Genomic DNA, 15,752 nt, shown 5'->3' with positions numbered 1-15,752 from the left:
TACATAGATATAGGTCGGCAGGGGACAGTGCCTGTGGAAGTTCCTCAGACCACCAGCCTGAGGAAAGTCTTCAGTGGAGCTTTGGTCTTATGTTATGGAAGCCCGAGTTGACTGAGGCCAGAATAGAAATTACAATTGTACCATATGTTTGGAAAAGAGTACTAGAAATACTTATCAGTGTTACTAACGTGTACCATAATTGTGAAGATTTAAAATGTAAAATTAAAAATATAAATAACAAAATTTGGCAGAACAACAGGGAGATGAAAGTAAAGCAAAACATGTTAATATCCTCATTTTTCATAGCCGAAAAGCAGTAGAGCTTGTAAAACTGGAAAAAAATGAGTTACAAATGAAAACAATTCCAAAAGTAATAATTTATACATTCTTCAAGTTCAGAGAATTCTGTTGCAATATAACATCTCGTTTTCAAGAAATGTCATATTTAGTATTTTAATATTTAATTTTGATTACAAAATGTATTTGCCATTATTCATCTGCATTATCAGAAGCACCAGAGACATTTTGATAATTTTAAAATGAGTTTTCACAAATATTTTATTATATAAATAAAAAACTTTTACTTACATTTAGAAGGATTATGATAAAATGAAGAAAGGATTCAGCGGGGAGGCCGGGCGTGCCGGCTCACGCCTGTTAATCCTAGCACTTTGGGAGGCTGACGGAGTTCAAGACCGGGCTGGCCAACATGGTGAAAACCCGTCTCTACTAAAAATACAAAAAAAAAAAAAAAAAAAAAATTAGCTGGACATGGTGGTGGGCACCTGTAATTCCAGCTACTTGGGAGGCTGAGGCAGGAGAATTGCTTGAACATGTCAGGCGGAAGATTTAGTAAGCTGAGATCGCACCATTGCACTCCAGCCTGGGCAACAAGCGAGAAGCTCTGACAAAAAAAAAAAAAAAAAAAAGAGAAAGCGAGAGAGAGAGAGAATTCAGTGTGAAATTCTGAGCAATAGTGCTAAAATTATGCAATATTTTCAAGAAAATAATGTTCAAGATTAATACACAGAAATTCATTATAAAGTCATGGAAGCTTAATCTTGTTTGCAATATCAAGTCCAAAATTATATCTTTGCCTATTCACTGCAGTTTTAGCAATCGGTGAAGACTATGACATCCTTAGAATATTTTTCACCCAAAACGAGTTCTTAGATTATCAAGATAAAACAAGAAAAATTAGAATCAAATGTGTATTTGAGAAGATCAATAGAAGAACATGGTTTTAAATTATCATCCCTCTGTGAGAGATACCCACTTTTATCTGTCTATATTTTTTCAGCTTTGTTAATGCAATATTTAAAATCATGCAACATATGCCTTGGATTATGTTAATTGGATTATGTGCTGATGTGTCTTGGAAAACTATGATATATTGATAAAAATTTGACTTTTCCTTTTGAAAAATAATACACTCAGGAAAAAAGTTTTAAGTAGCCTATATTAAAATGTCAATTGAAAAACAGAAAATTCTCTATTTTCTTTGGTCCATTAATGTTGCCATTTATATTATAAAGTTGTCTTGAATTTTCTGTCATTTTGATCATGCCTTTTTATTACCGTTATAAAGTGATTAAAAAAATAAAGTGATTGACTTTTTTCAACTGTATTGCTATAATTAAAATACCTTTTATTACACTTTTTAGTGTACATGTGAGTGTATTAATAAAAACTCTTTAGGTACTTTTAATTAATTTGTACTTCAATGAAATGATGTTGCTGAAATTGTAATTTGTAGTATAAGGGGCATTATAAAGTTTGAAAAGCATTTTCTGAAAATAATAATAGACAATAACAATACCGCTCTACAATAGTACAAGTACAATATTAATTGCAAACTGAAAATTAATGAGACAAACTTAAGGTTAAAATTTAGTAGTATAAATTAGAAATTCAGCAATTTCTTAATAAATATTTCCAAAATTTTGATCTTTTCACATTTATGCTCATGCCTCAAAACAACATATGTCATTTTATATAACCTCTTTTTCTACTCCAAACATTATTCTGAATGATAGACTATTCAGTATATATATGTGTACACATATCTATACATGTGTGTAATAACTGTCATGTGTATATGTATGTATTGTTTACTAATACAGCTATAAGAGCCATTACCACCATGGGTAACATAATAAGGGCTGTTGTTTTTTTCATTATTTTCTGTATGCCTACTTACATACTTTATAAGTGCTTAATTGATATGGCTTGGTGTGTCCCCATCCAAATCTCATCTTGAATTGTAGCTCCTATCTTTCCCATGTGTTGTTGGGGGGGACCTGGTGGGATATAACTGAATCATGGGGGCGATTTCCCCATACTCATCTCATGGTAGTGAATAAATCTCACAGATATGATGGTTTTATCAGAGGTTTCCCCTTTCCCTTGGTTCTCATTCTCTCTTGTCTGCTGCCATGTAAGACATCCCTTTCGCCTTCTGCCATGATTGTGAGGCCTCCCCAGCCATGTGGAACTGTGAGTCCATTAAACCTCTTTTTCTTTAAAAATTACCCAGTCTTGGGTAGGTCTTTATCAGCAGCGTGAAAACAGACTAATACATTAATATACAATTATTAATAATAATTACTTTCTATATTCTCATGAGAAAAACAGAAAAAATCTGATATTCCAGGAGATCCATGTTGATTCAAACCCATATGCTACTGCAGATCTCGAGACTCTCTTCCTACATGCAAAAAAGTACAATGAAGAAATGTGTATGTTATATAGAGAAAGACATGCAAGATGCATGATTTACTAATATGTTTAAAGATTTCTGGTTTATATAATACTAAGGGGAACAACCCCTTGACACCATGCATAAATTTGGAGTAGGATAATATCGTGATGTGGGCAAGATGTATCTTAATCCATGAAATGTAAACTATGGTGGGAGAATCAAAGAAACTCAATCAATGAAGAAAGATGAAGCTTTGATAGTAAAATATATTGTACCTGAACTTTAGCCAATATATTGTCACTGTTAATAACAATGCAGGCATCCCCTAAACTTGGTGAACATACATTTTACAAAGATGATATTTTCCTAGTGAGTGTAAATTTCTAGGTTCTGCTTCAGATTAGTGAGAAGGCTTTAGCTGTGCTGACATGTTGTTTCACCTCTCTCCAAACTTATCCTCTAGCCCAGTGGTCCCCAAACCCTGGGCAACAGACCAGTACTGGTCCATGGCCTGTTTGGAACTGGGCCACACAGCAGGAGGTGAGCGCAGAGTGGGCATTACTGGCTGAGCTCCGCTTCCTGTCAGGTGAGCAGGAGGCGGCAGACTGGGCAGCAGCAGATTCCCATAGGAGTTGGAACCCTATTGTGAACTGCGCATGCGATTGAACTGCGCATGCGAGAGATCTAAGGTGTGTGCTCCTTATGAGAATCTAACTAACGCCTGATGATCTGAGTTGGGACAGTTTCATCCCACCCCCACTCCCATATGTGGAAAAATTGTCTTCCAGGAAACTGATCCTTGATGCCAAAAAGGTTGGGGACCGCTTCTGTAGCCCCAACATCAATTTTGACCATAGGAAAGTCTACTTGGTTTCAAGACTTATAGTAAAATCCCTCTTTACTCTTTACAGCTCTACTCTCATTGGTATGTTGACCTCTGTCTTCACTGCCGAGTCATATAAGAGCCCAAATGGAATGAAAGGCCAGGACCCAAAACCTAACAAGTGTCTGCAGACCTGCAACTAAATTCCTCAAGGTTTGTCCTATAAAGTTTCTGTTCTTAGGTGCTGGCAAATTTGTTTGAAAGTGTTTATTCAATTCTTGGGCATCTATTAGTTAGAATTTATATTACCAACTTAATTTACCTTAACCTAAGGCTGCCCTGGAAAATATTTTGTGTGTTTTTAAAATACTTCAAGCACAATGCAAAAAGTTATCGAGTAATTTTTTTTTGAGTTTTTGAAAATCTTTTAAAAACGTGGAATTTTCAGGGAACTGAAAACATAAAGAGAATTTCCAAACCATAACATGGAAATTACCATTAAAATCTGACCACTCAAAGACAAAAAGTTATTAAATAGCCTAATATGATAAAAAATAGCAATGTATTTTGGTCTTTAATATTGTTGTAAAGTAACTATTTTGGAGGGTCAAGCTATGAAATATCCTTATCAGGAGACTGCCTTATAATTAGTTTAAGATCTCTGCTAAATCAATTTATGGATACTCCATTCAAGAGGATGAGCTCAACAGCGTAGTCAAATACTACCTACTTGAGTAACTCAACTTTGGAGCCTGCCCTGTGGCTCATCAGATTTCCAGCCTTTTGAAAACAAAGTTTCAGTCTTTGGTCCTCAGTTTTGCTGCGTCATTGATACTTTATTACTCCATCCCATCTTGACCCTGACGTGTGATCAGTTCTCACCAGGTGCTCCCATGCAACAGTACTTGCATTATTTCAAAATGGTACTAAAAGTAAACCTCATTTTAAATGAATCTTAGATAACCATATGTCACAGGAGGAATGATAACAGATTTTTATAAAGGTCTCCGTAATTTAAGAAACTTCTTCAGTTTACTAGGAATAATTTATTGAGTGATAAAAATTAATTTTATTAAAAACATGCTATTCATTTTATCTTATTTATAATTATGCATTTTAGTTATGTAATTAGGTCTGCCTGTAATAAATGTTTAATAAATTATTGGATAATTTGTAAGATAATAATCACTTCAGCCTATGAGAGAGACGATTGAAATTGAGTATTTTCTCTCTGCTGTCTTCTACACATATACACATGCTCTTTTTTTACACTCTTACATGTTGGTTAAGAAGGAATAAAGAATAATATTCCATGAGGTCAATGAATCTATTTTTCCTGCATTTAGCTAATGCTTTCAGCAAATATCTGTTTGAAATGATATGACCTCAATTTCCATTACCCTTTAGATACATAATAGACACTCACTCAGTTTTAGAAATGTTAATCTAAGGGATGCTGCAATGAGAAAAGTATTAATATTCATGTGGGAAGAAAAGTAAAAGAGGGGGCTGGGCACAGTGGCTCACGCCTGTAATTCCAGCACTTTGGGAGGCCGAGGCGGGTGGATCACGAGGTCAGGAGATCGAGACCATCCTGGCTAACGCGGTGAAACCCCGTCTCTACTAAAAATACAAAAAATTAGCCGGGCGTGGTGGTGGGCGCCTGTAGTCCCATCTACTCGGGCGGCTGAGGCAGGAGAATGGTGTGAACCTGGCAGGCGGAGCTTGCAGTGAACCGAGATCGCTCTACCGCACGCACTCCAGCCTGGGTGACAGAGTGAGACTCCGTCTCAAAAACCAAAAAAAAAAAAAAAAAAAAAAAAAAAAAAAAAAAAAAGAAAGAAAAGAAAAGAGGAATACGATAGATGTTTGTAGTTTCTTACTAAAACTGCTTGAAATATATATTAATATAAAATTCTATCTATGAAAATCTATTACACTGCTTCCTGTCACTACACTGCCCCTTTCTGATTAATGCACTCATTATACATAAATATTGAATTATTTATCCCTACTGTCCTTATCAATATGACTCCAAGCCATCCTTAAATTATTTAAGATGAATTAATGACATTTACTGTGAATGTATAGTTAGTGAAGTAGCCTTATCCTCTAAGTCAAAAATCACATTTTGTCAACAAACAATTGTCTAAACTTTACCATGACATTTCCTGCAAAGCTTTCAAGTAAATTACACAAAGTACTTTTTTTGTTCTTTTCACAAACTGTTGACCTATTAGACTCAAAAATATTTCTTAAAATTCTCTCTTAGATACTGAAAATAGAGATAGCTTAAAGTGAAAATGTCACTAAGTAAGTGGTTGAACTTTGACAACACATATAATGTTTGTCAATGGAACAAGAGTATGTAATAGTTTGGGCAAGAAAAGGCCCTAGGTGAACTCACATCACCAAATGAAAGAACAAAGTCATTTTACTGAGTATTCAAAAGTTGTTGAAAATAATATATAATAGAGATATTTTTTATTTTAGAAAATTTAACATTAATATTAAAAACATGCAATTGGAATACTCTACTATGGCATTTTCTCTCATAGCTAGGTAAAATTATTTATAAGAGTAACATTTTCTGAAATCCACCAAACTAGACAACTCTAGAGGCAACTTTTAGAAGTGAGTTTTCCTATTTAATAGCTGCATGTGAGGTGTGGGAAAAGATGAATTACATTTCTGTATTAAGGACAATGAATTCCAATGCTTATGTGACAAAGACATTTCAGTCTTTACTAGTGAGATAGTAAATATCTTTCTGAAGAGACAAACTTTTAGGTCCATGAAGACAAGGCATGGCTGACTAACAAAAATATAGAATCAATTAAATGCATAAAACTATATTTAAAAACAGAATGTTCTTATGGATTAAAAATTGCTTTTTATTATAAAAGAAGTTTTTATTATAAAAGAAATTTGAATTATAAAAAGAAATTTTATTATAAAAAGCAATTTTTAATCAATAAGAATATTCAAGGGAAACTATATCACCTACCTTTAAAGAGCCTAAGTTTTTAAGCAGAGATCTGCATCTGAAGCTCCGCTCCTTCAGATAACTCACAATGTCACCTTAATAAATTTACATAACTTCTGAGCTTTGCTTTTTAAAAATTATTTCTAATTGACAAATAAAATTATATACATTTATTGTATACAACAAGTTTTGAAGTATATATACATCGTGAAATGGTTTAATTTAGCCAATGAACAAATGCATTACCTCATATAGTTATTTCTGTGGCGAGAACACTTCACATTCACTCTTCGAATTTTTCAAGAATATAATATATTGTCATTAACTATAGTGACCATGCTGTACAATAGATCGTTTGAATTTATTCCTCCTAACTGTAATTACGTATTTCTTGGCCAATAGCTCCTGTGTTAGTCTGGGTTCTCTAAGGGACACAACTAATAGGATAGATGTACACATGAAAGGGAGTTTATTAAGGAGTATTGACTCACAAAATGACAAGGTGAAGTCGCACAATTGGCCAGCTGAAGCTGAGGAGCAAGGAAGCCAGTCCAAGTCCCAAAACCTCACAAGTAGGGAAGCTGAGAGTGCAGCCTTCAGACTGTGGCCGAAGGCCCAAGAGGCCCTGGCAAATCACTGGTGTTAAGTCCAAGAGTCGAAAAGCTGAAGAACTTGGAGTCTGATGTTCAAGGGCAGAAAGCACACGGCATGGAAGAAAGATTAAGACTGGAAGACTCAGCCAGTCTAGTCCTTCCACGTTCCTCTGCCTGCTTTTATCCTAGCTGTGGTGGCAGTTGATTGGATGGTGCCTACTCAGATAGAGGGTGGGTCTGCCTCTCCCAGTCCACTGACTCAAATGTTAATCTCCTTTGGCAACCCCCTGGCAGACACATTCAAGAACAATACTTTGCATCTTTCAATCCAATCAGGTTGACATTCCATATTAACCATCACTTCTCATTATCCCCTATTCCCCCTCCTCCCCAATTTCTCTAGTCCCATGTAACCACCATTCTATTTTCTACTTCTATGAGATCAATTTTTTTAGATTCCACATAGGTGTGAGATCACATAGTATTTGTTTTTCTGTGTCTGGCTTATTTCACTTAAAATAATGCCTTCCAGTTCCATTTATGTTTTCACAAATGATAAAAACTCCTTCATTTTTTATAGTTAAATAGATTCCATTGTGTACGCCACATATTTTCTTAATCCACTCATCTTTTGATGAATTCTTAGGTTTATTCTATATTTTGGCTATTGTGAATAATGCTGCAATAAACATGAAAGTGCTGATATATCTTTGACATACTGATTTTATTTCCCTTTGATATATACCCAGCATTGGGAATGCTGGATTATATGGTAGTTTTATTTTTAATTTTTTGAGGAATCTTCATTCTGTTTTCCATAATGGCTATAATAATTTACATTTCCACCAACTGTGTAAGGGTTCCCTTTTCTCCACATCTTCATCAACACTTATCTTTTGTCTTTTTGATTATAGCCATTCCAACAGGAGTGAGGTGATATCTCATTGTGCTTTTAATTTGTATTTCTGTGATGATTAATTATATTGAGCATTTAAAAAATATACTGGTTGGCCATTTGTATGTCTCTTTTTTTTTTTTTTAGGAATGTTCAGATCCTTTGCCCACTTTTAAATTAGTTTATTTGTTTACCTGTTTCTTTAGCGTTGTGAATTCCTCATGTAATTTGAATATTATCCCTTTATTGGCTATAGAGTTTGCAAATATTTTCTCCCATTCCTTAGGTTGCCTCTTCACTGTTGTTTCTTTTGCTGTGTGAAATTTTTAAATTTTAAATCAACCCACTTATCTACTTATGCTTTTGAGATGATATCCAAAAAATACTTCTGAAGACCAATATGATAAAGCATTTCCCCTGCATTTTATTCTAGCAATCTCATACTTTTGGCTCTTACATTTAAGTCTTTAATCCATTTTAGTTGATTTTTATATATAGTGAGATTAAAGGGTCTAATGTCATTCTTCTGCATGTAACTATTTAGTTTTCCCAACACCATTTATTGAAGAGACTGTCTTCCCCATTGTGTGTTCTTAGCACTTTTTCCAGAATTCAGTTGCCTGAAAGTGTGTGGATTTATTTCTGGTCTCTCTTTTCTGTTCCATTGGTCTGCTGTCTGTTTTTATGTCAGTTCCATGCTGTTTTGATTACTATTGCTTTGTAGTATATTTTGAAGTCAGATAATGTGAATTTTAGGATTTTTTTTTCTATTTCTTTGAGGACTATTATCACTATTTTGAAAAGATTATACTAAATCCCTAGATCACTTAAGTAGTATGGGCATTTTAACAATATTAATTTTTCCAATTTATGAATACAGAATATCTTTCATTTCATTATGCCCTTAATTTTTTTTTACCTATATTTTATAGTTTTCATTGTAGAAATCTTCCACCACTTTGGTTAAATTTATTTATAAGTATTTTATTTTTCTTTAGCTATTGTAAATGGGATTGTTCTCTTGATTTCTTTTTCAGATAGGCTGCGGTTAGTATATAGAAATGCTATTGATTTTTGTATGTTGATTTTGTATCCTTCAAATTTACTGAATTTTCTTATTACTTCTAACTATTCATTGGTGGAGTCTTTAGAGTTTTCTATTTAAAAGATCATGTATTCTTCAAACAGGGATAATTTAACTTCTTAATTTCCAATTTGTATGCATTTTATTTCTTTCTCTTGCCTAATTGCTCTGCTAGAACTTTCATATACATAGAGTACAGAGTATCGGTATTAGAGAGTTGTTGGAAGCTCTTATAATTGTCCTTCTTGGGCTACCTTATGGCTTCACCGTTGACTAGCTTAGTAATCTTTGGCAAGTTACTTGATCTTCAGCCTCCATTTCTTCTACAAATGATGAAAATGGCATTAACTACCAGATGAAATTTCTGTGATTATAAAAAAATTAAACATGTGAAACACTTAGAATGATGTCTTTCACATAGTAAGTTTTCACCAAATATTAGGTCCCATTTTCATTGTTCAGAGGATATCTTAATTTTGATTTAGGTACTCTTGCTATATATTCTAACGTTGTACTTTTCAATTTGTTAGGTAATATTTTCTATTAAATGATCCAACCTATCTTTGTAATTAGATTTTTAGAGCCAACTTTGAATAGCAGATGTAAAGCACAATATAATCAAGCACCCATATGATTAATAAATGTTTTAACTTATTGTCAAATGCTTTAATATCTTATAGATACTATCTCTGCCAAATTGGACAAAGTTGAGTGCTAATATTACATAGCTATTATAATTCAGACAATGAACAAACAGATATAGGCAGATATGAATGTGTAACTTATATGCTCATATCAATTGGCAAAGCTATTGAGAGAAAAATTCAACATGGGTGTTTAGAATAGAGAAATATAAAGATCCTCTAAATATATAATTATTAGTTTTGTTTACTCCAACGATCTGAATTTAATATTTTTATAAATACATTTCACCTTATTATATTCTTTTCTAATTTAACTTACTTAGTTGCCTAAAAGTGCTTTTTCCTCTTTGAGTTTATATAATGTTTAATCCATAAAGTGCAATTAGGCCAATGAGGTAAACAAAATGGCTTAAACAGTTCTTATGGCACTATACGTGTGTGTACAATTTGTATAACAAATTTGAGTTATATATTTAAAGTATCTGATAATAATCCATTACAACTAAGTTTGTAAAATTTCTACACTCTCATAAAACTCTTTAATTCACTGAAGCACAAAATTGTTTCCCATGTTGTAGTCAACAATGAGCTCAGCATAAATGTGCTACTGAAATTTTATGATAGCCGGATATAACAGTTGTCTTTCATTTTAGATAGCTTAATATATCAGAATACAAGTGTAAAAGCAGCACCTGAGGTTGTAATATATTTCTTAACATTTATCAATCAAAGCTTTCAACCTTATAAAATATTGTGGAATATAAGAAAATACATTAAAATATACTTTATTAATAAAAGGTGATGAAATATTGATAAAGTCATAAATTTTATAGGAATTTGGAATCTCTAAATATTTCTCATTGTTTTAAACAACATAATAAACAAAGCATGTATTTTTACTGGAAGATAGAATCTCAGGCTAGATCATATCCTTTAGTTATGATTGAAAATAGACATTTTACAGAAATTAATTTGAAAAGCAAAATTGCTTTTGATATTTGAAAATTATCTAATTAAACAAAACACATAATGTTAAAATTAAATTGCATTTGGCATCTGTGTCTAGTTAGTAATGAAATTTCTCAAACAAAAAATTGTCATTCTCAAAGAGCTAAAACATTCAGTAATGATCCAACAATTGTGGTCCTTGGTATTTACTCAAACAAGTTGAAAATTTATGCCCACACTAAAACCTGCACATGAATGTTTATAGAAGCTTTATTCATAGTTGGCAATACCTGGAGGCAACCAAGATTTCCTTCAATAGGTCAATGGATAAACATACTATGGTACACATACATAAAAGAAAATATTATTTAGCTGTAAAAGGAAACGAGCTATTTGGTAGACAAAAGACATGGAGGAACCTTAAAAATGTATTGCTAAGTTAAAAAAAATTCAGTCTGTAAAAGCTTCATAGTATTTGATTCCAATTATATGACATTCTGGAAAAGGGAAACCTATCGAGAGAGTAAAAAATAAGTGGTTGCCAGGGGTTCGGGAGTAGAGGTGGGAATGGATGAATAAGAGGAACACATGGGGTTTTTAGGACAGGGAAACAAAACAATTTTGTATCATAATGCCATGGTGGATACATGATATTATGCATTTGGTAAAACCCTTAGAATTGTATAACACAAAGAGTGCAACTTAATATAAAAGATACACTTTAGTTAATAAATAATGTATGGGTCCATAAATTGTAACAAATATGCCGAGCTAATGCAGTATGTTTATAGGTGAAACTGTGGGTGGGGGAGGATATGGCACTTTCTGTACAATTTTTTTTGTAAATCTAAAACTGCTTTAAAATTCTATTCATTTTTTAAAAATATTAGTACGTAAGGTTGCGCTAAAGAGAAGCTGGGTTTTTAAGAGATGGGAAAGATTGTTATTCTTCTCAAGTGAAAGGACAAAGTAATTCAGGTTTTGAGTTTATTTTTTAATATTGTATAATTTTTTACTTACCAAAATATTTTACATTCTTATAGATATGAAAATGAAATGTGTGTGAAAGACAAGTATAAATTTTAGCTAATTTTACACAACTAAAAAATAAAACATAGGTTTTTCTATAGCTCTATAATTGCTACTTGAATAGTTGACCATTTCCTTGGTATGTAAAAGTGTTCTCAGAAAGCGTTCTATAATTACTCCTTATCTACTACTGGGGAAAAAGTGAAAGATTTTCATAAACTAGGAATGTTCATTCTTTTATTTATATGAAAAATGTGACTGTGTTTTTATAATATACGTTTGCTTCTGCAGACTAATTCTCACTTCTCTTGCATTATATTCTGTCTCTTAAATAGCATTCCCCTTGAACTTGTAAGGTATACTGGAAGAGACTATCAGAAGAATCTTTTCCATAGCTTTCTCTCAATTATTTTATCTAGGTTTTATAAAAGCATAGTGCACACCTGGTAAGATAGCTTTTATCAATCACAACAGAAAATTTAAAGTGTGATTTATATTTTTAAAACATTTCATCCACAAGTGCTTTTTTCCCTATCCAGAAAGAATGTCAACATCTTTACAAGTATATTATCTCCCAATTTTCTAATCAAAACAATCCAGACTGGGAGACAGTAGGAGCTGTTTAAAACAATGAATATCACTGTAATGTGTTTTTAGTTGGATCATTTGCTAGATGCAGAAAACAAAACAAAACAAAAGGTCATTTCAGTGAAATCTGAACTCATGTAATAGACATGCATCTTTATATTCCACACACTTTGTTAATCATTGACTGAACAACATCGTGCCTGGAGCCAACTGACAAGAATTTTAACCTGATTAAATGTCCCAGTATGCCTTAATACCTTTAAATGGAATTTTTATGGCCTGTTCTGCACGCATATTATTAATACAGTGCCATCAAGAAAACCACAGACACGCATAATAGCTCATCAATTTGTAACTAAGCACTTTTGACCTTGAAAAATCAGCTGTCTTTCAGATTAATGTAGTTACATTTTAGGCAGAAAAAGAAGCCATAAAATTATCATGCTTATTTTTGTAACATGTCAGGATAAGAATTAGGAATAACGTCCCTGCCGATGGCTTCTTATTGATATTGCCTCCAACCTCTGACATCTGAATTAGAAACTCTGAGACCTCATCCTAATAAAAACCCACTTAAACGTTAAATTTCAGCTAAAGGGATGAATATAATATACTGCTGATAAGTTAAAGGGGTAGAGTATAAACTACCATCCCCATTGATGTTCACATTTCTTAGAAAATTAAAAGAAAGGAAAAGTCTCCAGATTTGTTTCCTCTTGAATGTGCGCACACACACACACACACACACACAATAAAAATGAAAATAATTAGTGTAAAAGAAAAGCTCACCATGAATATAGCAAGGTCATACCAGTCAATAATAAAAAAGGAATAAGAAATAAAAAGGACATCATGTGAACATAGAAGCAATTTGAAAAATAGTGGAAAACTATATTTTATTCAAGAAAAATATATATCTGGAGTAAAATAGGTGATATTAAATGAATTTGGTTATTTTTTCAAAAATAATTTTTGTAGCTAATGCTAATTTAATCATTTCAGAAGCTGCAAGATGAAATTGTGTATCCTACCATCTAAAACAAAGCACCTAAAATATTAGAATATCTGCCAGGTGCGATGGCTCATGTCTGTAATCCTAGCACTTTGGGAGGCCGAGCGGTTGGATCATCTAAAGTCAGGAGTTCTAGACCAGCCTGGTCAACATGATGAAACCCTAACTTTACTAAAAATACTAAAAAAAAAAAAAAAAAAAAAAATTAGCCGAGCATGGTGGCGGGCACCTGTAGTCTCAGCTACTGGGGAGGCTGAAGCAGGAGAATCACTTGAACCTGGGAGACAGAGGTTGCAGTGAGCTGAGTTCATGCCACTGCACTCCAGACTGAATGACAGGCGAGAGTCCTTCACAACAACAACAACAACAACAACAACAAAATCTGACCATAAAGATACTGTTTATTTTATCGTCAAATTTATGAGCTAATATCAAGTAGACGAAAGCTTTGGAAGAAGTTTCTGAGAATAGAGAGAATTTCTAAAAACATATAGTGTCAGGGCTGGAATAAATCATCATCATATAGTCTACACAATCAGAAGAATCAACTCCTAGATAAAGCCAGAGCTACCTGCTGGCTTATAGTCAGTTTCAGCCTTCTTTCAAGTATCCTTAGCATAATTTTATTTCTTACAATATTTTGCTAACTTATAAACTAGCTCAAATGTATGTAAGAATGTATTCATTTATTTTTAAATAGTTAATCAATACATTCCTTTTCCTCTAAGAAATATGAGATATGCCATGCTACAATTAGGAGGAATTATATAAGGCTGGAATCTGATTGTTAATTACTTAAAAACAACATATTTAAAAACTACTCAAGAATAAAGGTAGTTCTCAGAATTTGATTTGCAGCAGCCCTCTCTCAGTACAACCCTAAAACAAACCAACCATTACAAAAGTCAAACTTCTCTATGTCAATGAATACTAAAGAAGGGTCACATCCTTGCTGAAGCCTTTTCTGGAGTAATTGCTACAAATCAAAATGACATGATAAATACAAGGAAATTAGGCCAATGGTAAATAGAGTTTCTTTCCTTTGTCACTAACATCTCCTTCATTGCAACTGTAAAAATCTCTAAGAGCTATCTGGTCTTTCCCGTTGAGATGGGCTGGACATAGATGGTTTTGTGCAAAAGTTCTATCAAATTAAAAAAAAAAAAAGTGGTCCGCATTACATCCACTGCATAAGGGGGAAGGAAACACAAAATCTTTTCATGGTCTATAGTAAATCTGTTAGATAAACCTGGCAAATCCCAAAATCCTACAAATTACAGTGGGATGTTAGATACATCAATATGGTCAAAGTTAACGTGACATGATTATGTATACTTTATTTGGGGAATGTATAGATAGAGCAATCCTGGGTGTCTATTAATGTAATTTATCATATTAATTCAATTATAGGTTCAAGAAAAAAATATAATCTCAGTATTTACCAAAAAAGAAGCCATTTTACAAACATCTATTTTTGTTCTGAAGTTTACTTAGTAAGCAAGGATTACAAAGATATTTATTTAATGTAACAATAAGTGCTTATATGAAATTAACATAAAATATTATTTTTAACAATGAAATGTTAAGGAAGGCTTCTTAATATTGATTTAATGGAGACTATCAACTTCAACATTTAAGTATTTTTTTGGGGAGAAAGTCCATAATTATTATCAGATTTAGTTTATTGAACCAAAGAAAATCTGAGAACCATTGATCTATAGGCATGACACTGGGCAAAGACACCAACTACAAATTTTGAAAAGAGAAAAAAAGAAAGAGAAAGAAATATGCCTATCAGAAAAGAGGAAAAGTAATTATAAACATTTGTAGACAATGTGATTAAATCTAGAAACTCCCCTCCTAAAGAAGATAAAAAATCTGCTTAAGTGTTGTTTGTATTACATTCTATAATTGTTTCTAAAGTCTACATGTCTTCATATATCAGGACTTGAAGATATTACAAAAATAGGCAATTCAAAAGAGCAAAAATATTCAATTAATAGCAATAATCTTAAAAATATGATTACATAGTATTTAAGATTACATATGTAATCTTAAAAATATGATTACATATTACATACATAAAGAACAGAAAACATTTTATTAAGGGGCATATATGAACATATAAATAAATAGAAGCCATATTACTGATTTAGAATATCAGATATTAAAATATGTCTGTTCAACTTACAATCATCTAAAAATTTAGCAGTCATCTAAAATATCTAAAAAGAGAGGTTTTTTTTGTTGGAAATTCAACATATGATGTAACAGTTTTATATAAAATGCAATTAGGATAAGATGTGTTTAGAAAGAGCAATGGCCAAAGGATTTCTCCCAGTAGATAGCAAAATATATTAAATTACAATAATTAAAACATTGTGATACTAACATAAGCATAGATGAGCCGCACATAGAGCAAATGTAAATACTATACAATCTAGCTAAC

General features: G+C 32.5%; 2 long non-coding RNA genes across 4 annotated transcripts in view, besides 2 other annotated features; one reads left to right on the top strand and one right to left on the bottom strand.

The window, feature by feature from the left end:
- LOC102724340 (uncharacterized) overlaps nt 1-717 on the bottom strand; it is a 246,221-nt gene extending 245,504 nt beyond the window's left edge. For both annotated transcript variants that reach the window (XR_001739819.1, XR_923652.2), the window contains exon 1: nt 589-717. This is a non-coding gene — a long non-coding RNA (uncharacterized LOC102724340). The remainder of the gene's footprint in view (nt 1-588) is intronic.
- The window catches only part of LOC105373777 (uncharacterized), a 63,555-nt gene that overhangs the window by 13,296 nt on the left and 34,507 nt on the right, over nt 1-15,752 (top strand). The window contains exons 1-2 of one of the 2 annotated variants that reach the window (XR_923653.2): nt 3,474-3,514; nt 3,613-3,737. This is a non-coding gene — a long non-coding RNA (uncharacterized LOC105373777). Of the gene's footprint in view, nt 1-3,473; nt 3,515-3,612; nt 3,738-15,752 lie in introns of those variants that run through there. The other variant, XR_923654.2, reaches the window with a different exon arrangement.
- Nucleotides 2,795-3,295: an enhancer, noted in NCBI's record as "H3K27ac hESC enhancer chr2:185052419-185052919 (GRCh37/hg19 assembly coordinates)". NCBI's record gives its function as "activates a minimal SCP1, AML or CMV promoter by ChIP-STARR-seq in primed H9 embryonic stem cells {active_cell/tissue: H9 hESC(primed)}" and the evidence as "EXISTENCE:reporter gene assay evidence [ECO:0000049][PMID:30033119]".
- Nucleotides 3,296-3,796: an enhancer, noted in NCBI's record as "H3K27ac hESC enhancer chr2:185051918-185052418 (GRCh37/hg19 assembly coordinates)". NCBI's record gives its function as "activates a minimal SCP1, AML or CMV promoter by ChIP-STARR-seq in primed H9 embryonic stem cells {active_cell/tissue: H9 hESC(primed)}" and the evidence as "EXISTENCE:reporter gene assay evidence [ECO:0000049][PMID:30033119]".

This window comes from Homo sapiens, chromosome 2 (assembly GCF_000001405.40).
Source record: "Homo sapiens chromosome 2, GRCh38.p14 Primary Assembly".
NCBI lineage: Eukaryota > Metazoa > Chordata > Mammalia > Primates > Hominidae > Homo > Homo sapiens.
This window is presented reverse-complemented; position numbering and strand designations above follow the sequence as displayed.